This window comes from Homo sapiens, chromosome 19, assembly GCF_000001405.40.
Source record: "Homo sapiens chromosome 19, GRCh38.p14 Primary Assembly".
Lineage (NCBI taxonomy): Eukaryota > Metazoa > Chordata > Mammalia > Primates > Hominidae > Homo > Homo sapiens.
In genome coordinates this window covers 41,753,534-41,772,719 of record NC_000019.10, presented here as the reverse complement: position 1 = coordinate 41,772,719, position 19,186 = coordinate 41,753,534, and the positions used below count along the sequence as shown (strand labels likewise).

At 45.8% G+C, this 19,186-nt stretch overlaps 1 protein-coding gene and 1 long non-coding RNA gene across 3 annotated transcripts; one reads left to right on the top strand and one right to left on the bottom strand.

The window, feature by feature from the left end:
• Positions 1 to 508: 508 nt before the first annotated feature.
• Positions 509 to 17,190, bottom strand: CEACAM6 (CEA cell adhesion molecule 6). Of its 2 annotated transcripts, NM_002483.7 has the most exons (6): positions 17,018 to 17,190; positions 15,761 to 16,120; positions 11,193 to 11,471; positions 10,497 to 10,751; positions 6,421 to 6,537; positions 509 to 1,918 (listed from the first exon to the last, which is right to left on the bottom strand). In NM_002483.7, the coding sequence occupies exons 1-5, from the start codon at positions 17,079 to 17,081 to the stop codon at positions 6,461 to 6,463; spliced, it is 1,035 nt and encodes a 344-aa protein (NP_002474.4). In that variant the 5' UTR covers positions 17,082 to 17,190; the 3' UTR covers positions 509 to 1,918; positions 6,421 to 6,460. The 2 variants fall into 2 exon arrangements, with proteins under 2 accessions (NP_002474.4, XP_011525292.1); XM_011526990.3 differs by lacking the exon at positions 6,421 to 6,537.
• LOC112268252 (uncharacterized) lies at positions 13,359 to 15,952 on the top strand. Its single transcript, XR_002958447.2, has 2 exons — positions 13,359 to 13,693; positions 14,639 to 15,952. It is a non-coding gene; the product is annotated as an uncharacterized LOC112268252 (long non-coding RNA).
• Positions 17,191 to 19,186: the final 1,996 nt, after the last annotated feature.

The following is a 19,186-nucleotide window of genomic DNA, read 5'->3' as shown; positions in this document are numbered from 1 at the left end:
CTTGCACTGTCATTTTCTGATGCAGTAAGTGTCATCCTTGTGCTGCAAATGAGAAGAGACTGTGGGAGGTGAAGTGAGTGGTCCAGGATCATCCAGGCAGTTCACAGCAGAGCTGGTGTGTTTCACCTTGAAGTTTGTGCTCTGGCCTGTGATTCAGGCAGAAAGGTGAGACACAGAAGGAAGGCAAAGCAAATTTTTGTTGTGGGTGATGTTTATGAAAGTTACTTGTGTTAGGCAGAATAATGACCTCCTAAAAATGTCCACATCCTAATCCCTGGAACATGTGCATGTTACATTATTTGGCAAAAATACTTTGCAAATAAGTAAAGTTAAGGATCTTGAGATGGGAGGTTATTCTGGATAATCTGGGCGAGCTCAGTGTATTCAGAAGGGCCCTTGTAAGTGAAAGAGGAAGGCAGGAGGGTCGGAGTGAGAATGACGCCGCCTGAGAGACTCCACTGGCCGTGGCTGGCTGTGAACCCACATCAAGAGACAGAATTACAACAAATTTAGTTATAGAGCTAATTGGCTTTTATTTGTGATTTATGAATTAAAGCAGCACCACTCTACAAGTACAGTGATAGCTCCCCCTGGGCAATACAATACAAGAACAGTGGGTTTTGTCAAATTGGAACAAGGAAACAGAACCACAGAAATAAATACATTGGTTAACATCAGATTAGTTCAGGTTACTTTTTTGTAAAAGTTAAAGTAGAGGGGACTTCTGTATTATGCTAACTCAAGTAGACTGGAATCTCCTGTGTTCTTTTTTTTTTTAAATTGGTTTTAATTTTTTTTAATTGGATCTATCTTCTTCCTTAACATTTCAGTTGGAGTATGTAGCATTTAGCACCACTGGCTCAATGCGCTCACCTAGGTGAGAGTGTGACCAAATCTTAAAGCATTAGTGCTATTATCAGTTACCACCATTTGGGGCTTTTATCCTTCATGGGTTATGATGTTCTCCTGATGACACATTTCTCTGAGTTTTGTAATTCCAGCCAAAGAGAGACCATTCACTATTTGATGGCTGGCTGCATGCAGACATTTAAAGCTTTTAGAGAATACACTACACCAGGGAGTATGACTACTAGTATGACTATTAGGAGGGTAATACCAAGAGTTGGACTACGCACCTTAGGCAAGATACAAACCAACTAAAATAGAATAAAGAATGAGTCAGATGAGTGTAGCCATTTTAACCAAGCAGCACATTTGTTAATTTCTACAACTTAGTCTCAGCGATACCCATTGTATTTAGCCATGTTCAACAACAAGTGTCAGAAACTGCACAGACTCCTCCCTGTTCAGCTGGTAGGGAGCAATTCTATTATTTGGCATTGCATGGCTGGGTTGAATTAAAACAGGGAGTGAGAACAGGTGAGTCTAGAAGTCCAACTCTGAAAAGGACCACTGTACATTTGAACACACGGCTGTGTTAAAGATGCTGCTAATGTCAGTCACTGGGTGCACTAAAGGATCTCTTATTTTATGTAAAACGTTGGGATTGACAAGATAGATCTGACACTCTGTTAAGTTACCCTCTGAAGCTACTTCTTGTGAAATACTAATGACAGCATCATCCTGCCAAGCGAAAGAGGCAGGCATAAGCAAGGACAAATTAAAAGGGGGTAAGAGCCTTATCATGATGAGGAGTCTTGTTTTGACATCTTGGGAAAAGCTGTCCATAGTGTGAAGTCGTCAATTTCTCACCATGGTTTGCAGTTTGACTGTCTCTAGTTAGGTGAAGTCTCTGAGTGGCACACACCTCAGGCCTGAGGGTTTTCCCTTTAAATTTTCATTGAGTTGTCCATCTCCAGCATATAGGGCTTCAGGAGCAGAGCAGACCTTGTTTTTAGTGGTTCCATGGGATAAAATGGGATTGGAGGAGCTAGAAGAATTCAGGGTCTGGTCCAATCTATAGGTGGATAATGAAAATAAAAAACAATAAGCAGAGCTGTGATGTCATAACAGGTGTACTATAGTTTTTTTCAACATAATTTTTCTCTTCATAGGCATCTTTATTTCTACCAAAGATAATCCCAGTAAGACATATTTGTTTTCCAAATAAGTTTAGTCTCATCGAACTTGGCCTCATTCTTTATATAAGTGCAACAAGAGTAGCAGGTGACCACATAGTCTTTTTTTTTTCCTTTTGAGACAGAGTCTTGCCCTGTTGCCCAGGTTGGAGTGCAGCTCACTGCAACCTCCACCTCCCAAGTTCAAGCGATTCTCCTTGAATAGGAGTATAGGCCTATGTATAGCCCTATGTATGCACATGAATAGTATAGGCCCATGTACGCACATGAATAGTATAGGCCTATGTATGCACTCCCAGGCTGGAGCGCAGCTCACTGCAGCCTCTACCTCCCAGGTTTAAGTGATTCTCCTGCCTCAGCCTCCCGAGTAACTGGGATTACAGGAGCCCGCCACCACACCTAGCTTTTTTTTTTTTTTTTTTTTTGTATTTTTAGCAGAGACGAGGTTTTGCCATGTTGGCCAGGCTGGTCTTGAACTCCTGATCTCATGATTCACCCACCTCGGCCTCCCAAAGTGCTGGGATTATCGACGTGAGCTACTGTGCCCAGCCTGGGGTCTTTTCAAGTTTGTTTTACAGGAAGTTTTTATAAGGAATCTCAGATTAAACTTTTAGAAACCTCTTGACATGAGGAAGCCAAACCAAGGCCGACTTCAGACTTTGCCAGCAGTGCCTATGGGTTCATCTATGTATATTCCCAAATATAACATCCCAATCAAAGCCTGGGTAATATAACCAGTGTTTTCAAATGTATCCTGTTATAAAGGGAGCAGATTTTTATTGAGCAAATAACTATACTATTATATTTATTATATAATATTAATATTAATTAACAATTACAATTAGTCGTTAAATAATAATTATTAATTTATTAATAAATATTAATAAATTATTAAATAATGATCATCAAATAATTGTTTATCAATAATAATTATTTTATAACAATTAATATTAATAACTATATTTTTTGTGCAAATAACGATATTATTATAAACATATAAATATTCATGAATAATTTCCGAATTCTGGAGCAGTCAGGTAGGGAGAAAATATAGATGTTTCAATTTTTGTTCGCAAAATTGTTGAAGCTCTAGATAGCTTAAAAGAAAAAATGTTTCCTGAAATCTGGGAAACAAAACAAAGAATCCACAAAATTTCAAATAAAAAATCATAAAAATATTATTTTCATTATTATCTTTTAGTCTCATGAAATGAATTCTCTGCTTGCTCTTGGTTGGCAGTTTCATGAAGCTATCAGTTTGTTAAAATTTTGGAAATTCTTAAATAGTCTAATGGTATGATTTTAATGTTATCAGAAACTTGTATTCAAGAGTACATGTCGGAGTATTTTCTGTAAATATCCTCAATGAAGAAGCAATTTTGGATGGTAGCTGATTGCAAATGCTTTAAGGAAGGAAGAATCAAAATAATTGTCGGGGCTGGGCGCGGTGGTTCATGCCTGTAATCCGAGCACTTTGGGAGGCTGAGGCGGGTGGATCACCTGAAGTCAGGAGTTCGAGACCAGCCTTATCACCATGGAGAAACCCCGTCTCTACTAAAAATACAAAATTAGCCGGGCATGGTGACGCATGCCTGTAATCCCAGCTGTGCAGGGGGCTGAGGCAGGAGAATCGCTTGAACCCAGGAGGCAGAGGTTGCGGTGAGCCGAAATCACGCCATTGCACTTCAGCCTGGGCAACTAGTGAAACTCCATCTCAAAACAAAAACAAAAACAAAAAACAACCCCCCCACCAAACAAAACAAAACAAAAAACAATTGTCAGTGAATGACAAAGATTGAAAATGAGTATGGTTAAACATCTGATGAGAGTTCATTATGATAAGAATGCATCTCCCAGGTGAGGGGCGCCTCTGCCCGGCCGCCCCTACTGGGAAGTGAGGAGCCCCTCTGCCCGGCCAGCCGCCCCGTCCGGGAGGGAGGTGGGGGGGTCAGCCCCCCGCCCGGCCAGCCGCCCCGTCTGGGAGGTGAGGGGCGCCTCTGCCCGGCCGCCCCTACTGGGAAGTGAGGAGCCCCTCTGCCTGGCCACCACCCCGTCTGGGAGGTGTACCCAACAGCTCATTGAGAACGGGCCATGATGACAATGGCAGTTTTGTGGAATAGAAAAGGGGGAAAGGTGGGGAAAAGATTGAGAAATCGGATGGTTGCCGTGTCTGTGTAGAAAGAAGTAGACATGGGAGACTTTTCATTTTGTTCTGTACTAAGAAAAATTCTTCTGCCTTGGGATCCTGTTGAACTGTGACCTTACCCCCAAACTTGTGCTCTCTGAAACATGTGCTGTGTCCACTCAGGGTTAAATGGATTAAGGGCGGTACAAGATGTGCTTTGTTAAACAGATCCTTGAAGGCAGCATGCTCGTTAAGAGTCATCACCACTCCCTAATCTCAAGTACCCAGGGACACAAACACTGCGGAAGGCCGCAGGGTCCTCTGCCTAGGAAAACCAGAGACCTTTGTTCACTTGTTTCTTTGTTCACTTGTTTATCTGCTGACCTTCCCTCCACTATTGTCCTATGACCCTGCCAAATCCCCCTCTGCGAGAAACACCCAAGAATGATCAATAAAAAAAAATAAAAATAAATAAAAATAAAAATAAAAAAAGAATGCATCTCCCATAGACATTTAGTTACTTCTGTGGCATATGACATTATGGCTTATAATCTGTTAGATTTCTGGGAATCTCTTATAATTTTTGGAACACTCACATCAATAACATAACCATAAATATAACTTAGAGAAGGTTTAGCATCACTTATCATTTGACAGTGCTTCCCATATAATGTAACATATCAAATAAGGCGGCTTTTCCTTTTAGTTTCTGTTTCTCAGTTAGATTACTGAGTTCTTGGTGGAGCCCATTAATGAATTAGGCCAACAAAGTATAGGCCCATGTATGTTGAAAAAGCTCCAGAGGTAATTCTAATCCTCCTAGCTAAAAACCATGGGTTTAGCCCCAAGTCCTACCTATTAGAACAGGGATCCTCCATCGTGGCTACACATTAGTAGCGTCTGGAGAGGCTTAAAAATTACCAATGCCTGGGTCCCACTCCAGATCAGTAGATCAGAATTTATGGTTGGGGCTTGAGCATCCGTTTTTAAAAATGTTTCGGAGTGATTCCAATGTGTAGCTATATTTCCCATCAGATTTATCTGAATTTTTGTGGCATTCGCTCCTTTCTACTTTGGTATCATGATTATTTTTCAGGTCTTATCTCCTGTCTTGGGCTTTATGTTCCCTGGGGGTAGGGACCTTGCCTTCTTCATTTCTGTATCTGTTATGAACACATGAATTGATTGTCAGGAAAAGGTTCTCAGCCACATGCAGGATGTGTCCAAAGTTCACATATTAATACTACACAGTCTGTGTTCTCCATGAAATAAGAGGTTGCTTGTGATGAAGGGTGTGAGTAAGTCCACAGGGCAGGTAGTGGAGGGGAGATCACCCTGTTTTTAGGTGTAACATTGAAACTAAGAATTCTATGTGCATCCGGGGTAAAGGGGCAGGGATGTGTAGAGAGTCAGATTCTAATTAAGATGGAGGAATTATACTGGGAAGTAGAGGGAAAGAAAGTAAGAAGAATTAGTAAAGAGAAGAAATTTGAACTTAACTAGTAGGCCAGAGCAGGTTCCTTTGGCTTCTTTTTTTTTTTTTTTTTTTTGAGACGGAGTCTTGCACTGTCGCCCAGGCTGGAGTGCAGTGGCACGATCTCGGCTCACTGCAAGCTCCACCTCCCAGGTTCACGCCATTCTCCTGCCTCAGCCTCCCGAGTAGCTGGGACTACAGGTGCTCGCCACCATGCCTGAATAATTTTTTGTATTTTTACTAGAGACGGGGTTTCACTGTGTTATCCAGGATGGTCTGTATCTCCTGACCTCATGATCCGCCCACCTCGGCCTCCCAAGGGGCTGGGATTACAGGCATAAGCCACTGTGCCTGGCCCCCTTTGGCTCCTTAAGTAGGTGAGTGAACTAGATTTTAGGAAGGTAATGAGGCAGTCATATGCAAGAAGGATTCCAACCTTACAACAAGGGGTCAAGCAGGATGTTGAACAATTATTGAGGTTGATGGGAATGGAGAGACTGACAAAAGTGAGAGATGTTGAAAAAGGACGAAGAGGCTTTGACAATGTATTGACTCTAGGAAACAAATGAGCAGAGGCTGGGGATAATTATATCTAGGAGACAGTGGGGTACAGGGAGCATGAAGACCAGGGAAGAAGAGACCTGCAGGAATTAGTGCTGAGAAGCAGGAGTTTAGCGGTAGAAGGAGATCCAGTCCCAGATACAGGTGAAGAAGTTTTTTTCCTTTCCCAAGCATGGTGGTCAGCCCTGCAGGAAACATGGCAAGAGGAAAGGCGATCATACCTGCCAGTCTTCCTGAAATATCGAAAATACACCAGGGCTGCTATATCAGAGCCACCCTGGCCAGCACTCCAATCGTGATGCCGACGGTGGCCACAGCTGAGAGGACAGGAGCACTTCCTTGTGGGAAGAAGAGAGAAGGAATGAAGGTGATGTTATTCTACAGTGGGGTCCCCAAGAACTAGCTGTCAACATGAAGTAGGCTTGACTTGTTCCTTCAAGGAATACACTAGTTTTGTGGGAAAGTTGCAATTTTTTTTCTCTCTTACCACGTTTCTAGGTTGGTGATCAGTCTTCTGTCAATTTCATCCTGTTCTTTCTGCACTCAGACATTTTTGAAGGCTTTGAAAATTTGAGAAAGTCTGATTGCTATTTTTGCATGTCATTAGAACTTTCTATATTTTTATGTTTGCATCTTTTTCTCAGTGTCTCAATTGTGGCAGCCATGAATAAGAGCCTGTTGGAGCTCTATGGCAGGGACTTGATGGACAGAAGGCCCAGGCTAGTGCATTCTGAATTTACTATGTTCTTTGCACAGAGAACTCACTTCCCATGGGCTCCCACCAGGGGAAAGAAAGCAAGCCCAGGTCTGTGAGACCCTGCTTCACTCTCATGGGTGAGGGGTTCAAGGACTCCCCATCGGTCTTGGGGAAACTCAGAACTGCACTGCTATGTAAAACTTCCCTCCTTCTCTTTCTCCTTCTCAGGAATGAGATCTGCATCGTGGTCTGAGGGCTCTCTTAGGCTCTCCTGTCACTGCTGCTCCACCTTCCCTCATGGCTGTTTTACCCAGTGAATTATCTTGTACCTCTAATCCCATCTTGGCTGCATCTCAGTGGATGAAAGCTAACATACCAGGCTTGATTCTTTGCACTGTTTTTCCTCTCTCCCATGTTTAGCCAGTAACCATGTCCTAGTGAGTTTCCATTTGGTGCTTAGCCCTCACCAGTCATCTCAGTGCGATGGTTAATGCTAGGTTAGCTACTGTTGAGGGGCATGTCCTAGATACCAGGCCCTGTGCTAAATACTTTACCTGTATCTCATTTGATTTATACAGTAACTCTCTTGGGTAGACATTATTTCCATTTTACAGATGAAAAGACAGAGGCTTAGGGTGATGAGAAAACTTATCCAAAGTCACATGGTTAGTGACAAGTGGATTTAGAATTTGACTCTAGGACTACCTGACTTTAAGGTTAATGGTAACAGTAGTAATAATAATAGCTAATATTTGTGAAGCTTTTCTTTGTGTGTGGCATTTTGCTGAAGGCTTAATCAAATGTTACATTAAATCTTCAAAACGATACTATGAAACAGGCATTGTTATTTCAATTTTCATTTTTTCCACCCATTTCTTAGTGATGAGAATTATTGCAATTTTCAGTTGAAGAATTGAAGGCTCAGAGAAGTTAAGAATCTTGTGCAAGAAATTGATAGTGGTAAATACTTACATTAAAGAGAGACCTCAAATCAACAACCTAACTTTACAAATTCAGGATATAGAAAAAGAACAAAATCAACCCAAAGATAGTGAATGAAGGAAACAATAAGAATTATAACTGAAATAAATAAAATGGAGGCTATAAAAACAATAAAGGGAGTCAATGAAACCAAAAGTTGGTTCTTCAAAACAGATCAACAAAATTGACAATCATTTACTAGGTTGACTGAGAAAAAAAGAGAAGATTCAGATTACTAAAATCAGAAATGAAAATGGGGGCATGGTGGCTCACACCTTTAATTCCAGCACCCTGGTAGGTCAGAGGATGAGGGTTGCTTGAGGCCAGAAAGTCATGACCAGCCTATGCAACATAGGGCGACACAGTCTCCACATTTTTTTTTTTTTAAACTAGCCAGGCATGATGGCATATGCCTGTAGTCCCAGCTACTCAGGAGGCTGAGGTAGGAGGATCACTTGAGCCCAGGGGGTTCAGCCTGCAAGTAAGCTATGATCAAGCCACTGCACTCCAGCTTGGGTTGGGTTACAGAGTGAGACCTACTCTCAAAAAAATTGATGACATTGCTACCAATTCTACAGAAATAATAAAGATTAAAAGAGTGCGGTAAATAATTGTATGCCAACAAATTGGATAACCTAGATGAAACGGACAAATTCCTGGAACACACAAAAAAATCTGAATAGACCTATAATTAGTAATAAGATTTAGCCAATAAAAGCATTTGACAAAATTCAACATTCTTTTATAAATAAAAACACTCTGTGAATGGAAGGAAACCACCTCAACATAATAGAGGGATACTCAATGGAGAAAGACTGAAAGCTTTCCCTGTAAGACCAGGAGCAAGACAAGGATGCCTGCTTGCCCCACTTCTCTTCAACATAGTGTTTTAAGTCCTAGCTGGAGAAATTAGGCAGCAAACAAACAAATAAACAGACATCCAAATCGGAAAGAAGTAAAATTATCTCTGTTCACAGATAACTTAAACTTATATGTAGAAAACTCTACAGGGTTGGAGTTGTTGCTGGTGACCGAGGGCTTGGGCAGCTCCGCTGTGCAGAAAACAGAGAGAAGATTGCCGTGTGTGGCACCTTTGATTCCTCTGCAGGCATCGTTCAGTCAGAGTTGGCATCTCCCACCCCTCAGTCCACCCAAGTCCTTAAGAGCCCAGGGCAGGTGTGTGTGTCAGAAGACGGATGCACAACGATCTGAGGGCTCGGAGATCGAGGCCACCTGCTTTGTGTGGGAGAAGTACAGACTTTCTCAAATGTGAATAGGGCAGAAGCATTGAGTCTTGGGCAGATACAGGACTGACAGCCACAGCCTCTGGCACCTCTCCTGTTTCTTCCCTGACTGGCTGACTGCCTGGTCTTTTGGGGTACTCACCTGGAACATGCAGGTGCTGTTTCTTTCAGCTGCACAGTCCCACACCACCCAGCCAAGGTGTGTTTTTTCTGAGGCTTTGCTATTTAAGGACATCCTGGAGATGGGTGATGATGGGGATGGGGGTTTGAGCGGGAGACCAGAAGCAAGTCTAGAGGTGAGTTCAGGGGTCAGGCTGTGGGTCACAGGTGGGCAGCTCTGCCCAGGAGTTTGATGGGAACAGAGTTTCATTTTGGGAGGAAGAAGAGAGTTCTGTGGGTGGGTGGTGGTGATGGTAGCAGAACAACGGGAATGTGTTTAATACTACGGACCTGCACACGTGGAAGGGTTGAAAAGGTAAGTCCTATATTAGATACATAGTGGCTGGTAGTCTTATCCTCTCTATAAATACACACTTTTTGTCACTGCCCCTTCCCTGCCATGCAGAGTCCCCATGGCTGAATCTCCCTATGTCTCCAAGTGTGCGTCACTTGCTGTCCTCTGTGCTGTGTCCCATGTGCTGTGCCCACAGTCTTATACAGCCAGTGACTTCAGAGCCAGGACACAGCTCAGCAGTCTGTCATGAGGCTCCATGTCTTCCCATTTTCCTGCGGCCTGATCCAGGGGAGGCTTTGGTGTTGATTAGCATCTTGATTTAGCCTGATTCAGGACAGACACCTGGGCACCTTCTCCATATGCCCTGGTTCCACCTTAGGTGGCTTCAGGGTGGGGTCAGTCAGTCACTGGGGGTGCTGGGAGCAGAGATGGGGGCAGAGTCTGAGCTGCTCCTCCATCACCCAAGGGGCTTCCTCTTCTCATTTAAGGAAAAAGTGTGAGCTCATTTCAAAACCTCCTTGTCCCTTGTAGCTTATGGAGTAGGTAAAAGAACACAAAGAAGTGACAGAAAGGGAATTGTTGGTGACAGAGAGCAGGAACTTGACCCTGAGGACCCTTCCTCCTTTTTTCTCTGTGAAGCCCCTTTCACTACACAGGGCTCAGTGCTGAGGGAGCCCCCTCCTCTCATTCCAGGATGGACCCAAAGTCAGACATGAGAAATCAAAAAACAAAAAACAACAAAAAACAAAAAAACAAGGGGAAAAGAGTCTGCAGAGGTGAATTGGGAGGGTTCAGGGGAGAATTTGGGATTTGCGTGTGCCCCTTGGACACAGGTTGGGAAAGAAAATTTCTTCCTGGCTCTTCTCTGAGAGCCAGACTCCACCTGAAAATGTGATGCTAGTGCTTCATGGATCCACTTACCAGAGACTGTGATCATCGTGACTGTGGTCCTATTGAGGCCAGTGGCTGAGTTATGGGCTTGGCACATATAGGATCCGCTATTATTCACAGTGATGTTGGGGATAAAGAGCTCTTGTGTGGATTGCTGGAACGTCCCATTGATAAACCAAGAGTACTGTGCAGGTGGGTTAGAGGCTGCGTGGCAGGAGAGGTTCAGATTTTCCCCTGGACGGTAATTGGCCTTTGAGGGGGAAATGGTGGGGACATCTGGGCCATCTGGAGGAAACAGAATAAAGCCACAGGTGATGTTGTCAGAGGGAAGCATAAGTTCCTGGTCTGTGGAAGGGCCACGGTGTCCCCCTGAGCCATGTCACAACCCTGAAGTCTCAACCAAACCCCCGCTATGTCCCCTGAGCCAAAGTCTGAGACATTCACCTGTTTCTCCCATCAGAAAATGTGAACCCTGAGCCTTAAGGACATCCTGGAGATGAGTGATGATGGGAATGGGTGTTTGAGCAGAAGTAGCACAGGAGACAGCCCCTCCCCTCCCATTCTTGGTCAAGGCCTGGTCTGCCCAGGTTTGCTCAGGGCAGGAAGTCATGGCCAGCCTGGGTGAGGGTCTGAGTCCTTAGACCTGAGAGGGACTGAGAGACCTGGACTCTGGCTGTGTGGATTTGGGCTGGCAGCCTGGGCCACAGAGGAACAGAAGATACTCACAGAGGACATTCAGGGTGACTGGGTCACTGCGGTTGGCACTCGCTGGGTTCTGTATTTCACATTCATAGGATCCTGCATCGTTCCTTTTGACGCTGAGTAGAGTGAGGGTCATGTTGCCATTGGACAGCTGCAGCCTGGGACTGACCGGGAGGCTCTGACCATTTACCCACCACAGGTAGGTTGTGTTCTGAACCTCAGGTTCACAGGTGAAGGCCACAGCATCCTTGTCCTCCACGGGGTTGGAGTTGTTGCTGGAGATGGAGGGCTTGGGCAGCTCCGCTGTGCAGAAAACAGAGAGAAGATTGCCCTGTGTGGCACCTTTGATTCCTCCACAGGCATCTTTCAATCAGAGTTGGCATCTCTCACCTCTCAGCCCCCTTGAGTCCTTAAAAGCCCCTGGCAGGTGTGTGTGTCACACAACAGATGCACGATGATTTGAGGGCTGAGATTGTGTGAGATCACCTGCTCTGTGTGGGAGAAGCACAGTCTTTCTCAAGTGTGAATTGAGCAGCAGCATTGGGTCATGGACAGACACAGGACCCGGGGTCACAGCCCCTTGTGCTTCTCCTGGTTTCTCCCTGACCAGCTGCCTGCCTGGCTTCCCTTGGAGTCCTCACCTGAAACATTCAGGTGCTGGGTCTTTTCAAGCTTTAGTCCTACTTTGCCCCCCTAGCTGTATTTTCTGTGTGGCTTCCTTTTCTAAGGACATTCTAGAGATGGGTGATGATGGGACTTCTTATTGTCCTTAAACCCCAAGGATACTGTGCAGCCTGGCCTGGGATTGGACCTTTCAGCAGAAATAACACAGGGGACACCAGGGGCAAGCCTGGAGGTCAGTTCGGTCATCAGGCAGTGGAACCACAGGTGGGGCAGTTTTTCCCAGGTGTTTAATAATGACTGACTTGAGCCTGTGACACCTACAGATAGAGCAGAATTCAGAGAATGATCTAGAAGACAGTGAGGGGGACAGGCAGGAGCTGCCTGAATTTCCCAGCAGAACCGTGTTCCTTTTCTTTGGCCTTTAATGTTTCTTCTCCCTCTGCGGAGGGCAGGTGAGGACCCTGTGGCTCTCTCCATAAACACATGTGGATGTTTGCAAATGCACAGCTGAGTGGTGGAAAGGGGGAGCATGAAATGCTGCAAATCTGACTCTCAAGGACCATGTGTGTTTGACAGATATGAGACAGAAATTTGAGGAGAAGTTTTGCAAATATTTTCTCCCATTGGACATTATGCTAAATGCAATAAGTCACTCACAGGACAGATACTGTAGGGTTCCACTTATATGAGGTCCCTAGAGTAGTCACACTCATGGAATCAGAGTAGAATCATGGTTGCCAGGGATTGGGAGAGGCAGAATGGGGAGTTAGTCAATGGGTGTGCGCTTTCAGTTATACACAGGATGAGGTTCTAGAGATTTGCTGTACAGCTTGGTACCTATAGTTCATACGGATTGAGTATCACTTACGCATAAGGCTTAGGACCAAAAGTGTTTTGGATTTCTGACTGTTTCTGGATTTTTGAATATTTGCAGTAGACTTACCCGTTTAGCACCCTAATTTTGAAAACCCAGAATCTAAAATGCTCCAGTGAGCATTTCTTTTCAGCATCACTTTAGTGGTCAAAAAGTGTTAGATTTGGGAGCATTTCAGATTTTGGATTATTGGATGTGGGATGCTTGACCTGTAGTGTTGTAATTTGCTTTGAAAAGTTTGTCAGGAGTTTAGACCTCATGTTATGTTCTGAATATAGTAAAAAATAAAAGAACTTTGGGGGAAACATTTAATTTTTTCCATAAGTGGAGATCGTTACTAATGTCCTAAAGATCAAAGATCAAGGGCTGGAAGTAGTATTTTTCTTGATAACATACTAAGGTTTAGGTGTGCTGTGAATTCCAGCAGGATCATATTGTCGTCAAATGAAGATGCTGAAGTTGGTTTGAAATTAGCAACTCCTTGAGTAGAGAGAGGCATATGAGTCCTCTTAGGAGGATAGAACCAGTAGGAGAGGAAGTCTTAGGTGTGTGTCAGTTACATAAAGGAAGGAACGATGCCAAATTAGAAGCAACGTGTGTTATGTTAGTAAATTTAGAAAGAGCTCCCTGCCCCTAATTCCTGTGCAGTTAGGCAAATAGGGAAGGAGCCCCAAACAGTCATGTGAAATGCTTTCTTCCTCTCCTGTTAACCTGAGAAAACACAATGAGAGTTTAAGTTCATCTAAACTGGGCAGAGTCTATGTGAGACTCCAGTGGCTGGTGCACTTCTCAGTCCAAGGGACCCCACCTTATGACAATGGCATCATCATGAGGACACAGTAGTGTATGTGGAATGGGCAGCAAACCCATCAGACAGCACCTGCCTGGCCGGCTCCACCTGGGGAAGGTCCTGGGGAATGACTGGAGGATGTGAGCCTCACACCAAGATGAGGACGGAAGTCAATGGATGAAATTAGCCTCTGGGCCTTGGGGAAAGCAGACCTGTCATCCTGCCTCTGACTGCCTGGTGAGTCAGTAGAGACTGTATGGAGGAGTCGCTTGTCCCTGTCCCGTGGCCTGTTCCACATGTCGGCCTCACTGGGGGAAAGAGCCCTGGATGGGGACACAGTGGAAGCTCATTCTCCTGTTGACTTGGGGACATTGGCTCGTGATGGAGCCCGGCAGGGGCGGCTGCTCCGGCTGATTTCTGTGCCTTCTCTGTTGCCTGGGATGTGGGCCAGGACACAGTGTGAGCAGGAAGGGAACAGGACAGCCAGCCTTGTTAGAGGGGTTTTCTGGGGAAGGCCTAAGGGTGGAGGAAGCTGTGCAGGGCAGGGCATCCCAGCTAGAATGAAAGGGGAGGAAAATGAGGGACAGAGAGGAGCAGAAAGAGCCAGAGATACCCATGGCAGTGAGCAGTGGGGGATACAGTGACCTCAGAGACCCCAGGGACCAGGAGCCTCTTGGCTGCCCCAGACCAGGACCAGGGAGACCTGAAAACCCTCTAATGACCAAGGAACCCCAGAGTCACATGAGATGGGGTAGGTTTAGGGACAGGGGTTCAGAGGGATGGAACATGGGTGTCAGCCCCTGAGGGACAAGAAACAGGTGTGGCCAGAACCTCATAGGATTCTGCATCCAGGAGCCGGTCTCTAAAGAGGTTATGGATCCTTTTTTCATTCCTTCTTCCTTTCTTCCCTTTTTCAAGAGAGAACTCCTGAGCGAGCGTGTGTCTCACTTTGGGCCTGTGCTGGTGCAGGGTGTGAGTGGGGAGAGAAAGCAAAGTCCTCTCCTTTATCCTCCCATGGGAGTGACACCCACACATCGGGAAACAGGATTTCAGGTGCAGTGAGGGGACTGTGGATCGAAGGGAGAGGCCTGGACAATCCCAGCACTGACTCTGTTATTTGAGGCAGGTGATTTAGTTCTAGAGTAAAACTGATTAATTCTCTGTTTGCTTCTTACTTTCCAGACCAGAATCTCCACTTCTGAGCTGCGGATGCACAAGACAAAAGGAAGTGAACCCATGACTGGCCTCAGATGCAGATGCCTAACAACAAACAGCCCCATCACCCCCGGTTGAGGAGAGGAGGGGGCTGTGGCTGCAGACAGACCTCATATGTCTCTAATCTGCCACCTATGGCCTGTGTGACCCTTGTTAGTGACTGTCTCCCTGTCCCTCAATTTCCTTTCTATAAGTAGGATAAGTGCTATTTGGCTGTGAGGTTGTTTGTGAGTTAACCTCAAAATATTTACAATTACTTGATCTCAGCTCTGCACAGAGGAGCTGCCCAAGTGAACAGTTATCTATGATTATTTGCTTCCAAGACAGAGGGCCCTGGGCCTGATCCCTGGTGGACATGGAGCTGCCAGGAGCATCCTCTCTTCTCTGTTCCTCCCCTTGGGGACTCTGAACTTCCCAGGGAGTAACCTGTGTCCCCCAGGGCAGTGGGCTCATGCACTAGTAATTTTTTCCATCTGTCCTTTCCATGCTGAGCCTCAAGTGAAGGAGGAGGCCCTATCCTCAGCTAGATGAGGCTCTGGGTGCTCGGACCTGGCTGGTGACCAACTCCAGGAGTCATGGCCCTTGGATAGCTCACATCCTTGCTCCCAGCCAGCCCTGCCCAAGAGGCCACCACACAGCCCTGGCACAGACTCCCCAGGATCACCTGGAATCAGGAACCAGGGACAGGGCTTTGTACAGGGGCTCAGTTCAGGGAAGAGTTGAGCTTCTCTCTGAGGGGTCCCTAGGGGGACCCCTCAGGCCAGGCCCTGATCCAGTTCTCCAGGGTCTTTCTCAGGGTCAGGTCCATGGGGAGACCATGGGGTGCTTGTCTGACACTGACCTCGCCCTGCTGAGTCCCCCCATCAGACTGTCCTTCCTCTGCAGCGAGTGTCTGCAGGGTCTGGATCCAGGAAAGGAATTCTGATCTGTGGAAGTTTGTCTCCCCCGTGTGTGTCCTGCACTAAATGTCCAAACCCTGATACAGGATGTAATGCAGAGAGGGCCACAGGCACAACCCAGGCCTGACAATCCCGTATGTGGGAAGTAGAACTGACCCCCAACACCCAGAGGTCATGTGGAAATACTCACGGTATACATGGAACTGTCCGGTTGCTTCTTCATTCACAAGATCTGACTTTATGACTTGTAGGGTATAGAATCCTGTGTCATTCTGGGTGACGTTCTGGATCAGCAGGGATGCATTGGGGTATATTGTCTCTCGACCACTGTATGCGGGCCCTGGGGTAGCTTGTTGAGTTCCTATTACATATCCTACAATTAGACTGTTGCCATCCACTCTTTCGCCTTTGTACCAGCTGTAACCAATACGATTCTGGGGCAGGTTGTGGGCGAGTAGAAGAACCTCCTTCCCCTCTGCGACATTGAACGGCGTGGATTCAATAGTGAGCTTGGCAGTGGTGGGTGGGTTCCAGAAGGTTAGAAGTGAGGCTAGGAGAGAGGAGAGAGCATCGGTCAATATTGGGACCTATGCATTAGGGTGGAAAAACAGGGCCCTGGGTCCTGAGCAGGTCTCTTCACCCCTCCACGTTGGAGCGTGTGTGTGTGTGTGTGTGTGTGTGTGTGTGTGTGTGTGTCCTACTGAGTCAAAGTCAGCAGTGTGACACCCCCATTCCTTCAGCACCTTTGACCTTGGCATTTCCCTGTGTGGAATGCTCTTCCCCAGGGGTCTGCATGGCTCCCTCCCCACTGGCCTCAGGTCCTGCTCACATCAGGGCATTCTTGGGAGATCCCTTCCCTGACACCCCCTCTACAGACCCTGGGTCTTTTCTTTCTGACCTTTCCCTGCTCTGTTCCTTCCAGGGCTCTTGTCAACACCTGACCTCACATTCTATATCTCTTTGTGTGTGTGTTTTCCTCTTCATGACAGCATAAGCTCTGTGATGACTGAGACTTGTCTGATGCTTGTTGTATGCCATTGACTAAAATTGATTGCAAATGCTTGTGGATGAGTTAATGAGTGTATCTGGTGGTTATTTTTCAACTTCTGATTGGTGAGTAAGGGCAGCATTTAGTTTCCTTGTTATATTTTTATTTGGAGTGTCATCCTAATGCAGTTCTGATTTCTATCATTTTTCTTTTTTTTCAAATGGTAATGACAAATGATGATTAACTTGGAAAACATGATCAATTGATTTTCCTCCCTTTTTATCAATCCCAGTTTAGTGTGACTTTCCTGTTGTGACCCCTGTCCCTCTCTGGTGTTCTGTTTCCTCAGGCTTCAACAAAAGCCCTCTGTCTCCTCTCAGAGCCTTGTCCTCCCCAGGAGACCCTAGCCAGTCTCTGTGCTCCCTCCTCCCATCCACTCCGAGGGAGTCCTCCCCTCACCTGTGAGCAGGACCTCCTTCCAGGGGACATGCAATCTGCAGGGAGGGGCTGAGGGGGGTCCCATGGTCTCTGCTGTCTTCTCTGTCCACCTCTTTGTAGAGGAGCTTGAGCTCCAGGAATGCTCTGGTCAGGGCTGCTGTGACTGTTGGCCCTGCTGTCCTTCCTCCTTCTGTGCTGAGCCTCCTCTCAGGGATAGAAGCATTTCCCAGGGTCACGTGGGTCATGGGTGCGGTCTCTGTTCAGGAATCCTCTATCCCCTCCCCTCTCATTTCTGTCTCTTTTGTCCCTCCTCCTCTTCCCTTTCTGTTTATATTCAGTTCCCCAGAAGATGCTCTGAGAAGCAAGCTTGTTTGGACCCCTGTTCCATAACAGGACGACCCGCCCTCCCCAGCACGGACCTCTGCTGTGTCTGGGCCTTGGGTCTGTCAGCACCACACAGAGAGTCCCTGGGGTCCTCAAACCTGGTGTTATTTTCTCTGTGACAGAGAAACCCCTCTATGTGTGCAGGATGTTCCTAGTGTTCTCACACGTCTGGGAAGGTTGGATTTACCTCCAGCAAGGAGGTCACAGAGATGTTTGGGGTCCTAGGAGTGGACACATCCAGGGCTAAAGCCCGGGTCTAAGATTCTGAATTGTTCTTTCTGCAGTGTTATGTGACTCTAATTTCCTGGGAGTAACTGAGAATGAAGCTGCATGGTGCTGTAGTATTATGTCATCCAGACCCCAGACATTTCTAGACCAACTTTATGATTTTCTCTACAGCTTTACCACCTTTATTATTATTTACTTCATACTTTTTTTGTAATTAAATTTAGTTTACAAAACATCCTTGTCTTAGCAGGGCTTGGTGGCTCACACCTGTGATCTCAGCTACTCAAGAGGTTGAGGTGAGAGGATGGCTTGAGGCCAGGAACTGAAGACAAAATATTTTTGTCTTATGCAATATTGTCCATGAAATCAGAGATTTGATGTGTGCTTAATTTTTTTTCCTGTCATGCGTTAAAATAAACACAGTTAAACTTAAAAGTTTATTTATGTTTCACCTAAAATCAGTTTTGGGAAATGCTTATATAGTGGCATAAGCATGGAATTTATATCCAGATATAGACCTGGGCTCAGCTAATGGTTCTGTCACTTAACTATGTTGACTTGGACAAGTCACTTGGCTTCTATGATCCTTGATTCCCTGATTTGTAAAAGGAGGATGGTAAAATCCTCCTTGCAGAGTTGTTGGGAATATGTGGGAGCCCAGTGTCCAGGCGGGTGTTGAGTACGTGATGGTTATCATTGTGTTTATTGCTGTGGAATTCTGGTTATTTTCCAAAGAGAGTGTCTATGCTGGAATATTGGGCTTGTGGCTTTCTGCTAACATGCATGTGTGAAGAAGTTACTTTTGCTTGTTAGGACTTGTGCATCTGTCATTATTTTTGTTTTCCAGTTCTACTACCTATTTTCTCTGTGATGTTGGTCAAGTTGTCTAACTTTTCTGTGCCTCATTTACCTAATTTGTGAAATGTGGGTAACAGTACACTAGTGTGGGTGTGTTATTTCCCAGCTCCGACCACTAGAGGGCATAGAAGCACCGGCACCTACTAGCAATGGGCATATGGGTGCCCATGGTCTGTAAACATCATTTTCCCATGAAAGGAACCAGGGGTCCCTGGAGAAATAGCTGATCCAGGGCTGGGCAAGAAAGCACAAGAGGAGCCTTGTGGGGCCAGAAGTAAACATTCTGTGGGGCCAGAAGTAAGGAACTGCTTGAAAAATGATGGGGTTGTGTCAAAAGTCACAGAAACCAACTAGAAGGAACTCCCAATGGCCAAATTTGGGACAATATCAGCGACATAATAAACAATGCCAGCCACTCGGGGCGGTGGTTTACGCTTTGGCACTTTGGCAGGCCGAGATGGACGGATCACTTGAGGTCGGGAGTTCGAGACCAGCCTGGCCAACACGGCAAAACCACGTCTCTATTAAAAACATGAAAATTAGCTGGGTGTGGTGGCAGGGACCAATAGTTCCATCTACTAGGGAGGCTGAGGCAGGAGAGTAGCTTGAATCCAGGAGGCAGAGGTTGCAGCGAGCCGAGATTGCGCCAATGCACTCTAGCCTGGGCAACAGAGCAAAACTCCATCTCAAAAAAAAAAAAAAAGGGATATAAAATAAGAT

Bases quoted from the DNA above. Each gene is read 5' to 3' on its own strand.
- CEACAM6 (NM_002483.7), bottom strand. From the start codon at position 17,081: ATGGGACCCCCCTCAGCCCCTCCCTGCAGATTGCATGTCCCCTGGAAG. The intron at 16,121-17,017 runs GTGAGGGGAGGA...CCTCTCTCCTAG, and splicing joins GAAGGAGGTCCTGCTCACAG to CCTCACTTCTAACCTTCTGG. The intron at 10,752-11,192 runs GTGAGTATCTTC...TGTTTCCTCCAG, and splicing joins AGTCACCCTGAATGTCCTCT to ATGGCCCAGATGTCCCCACC.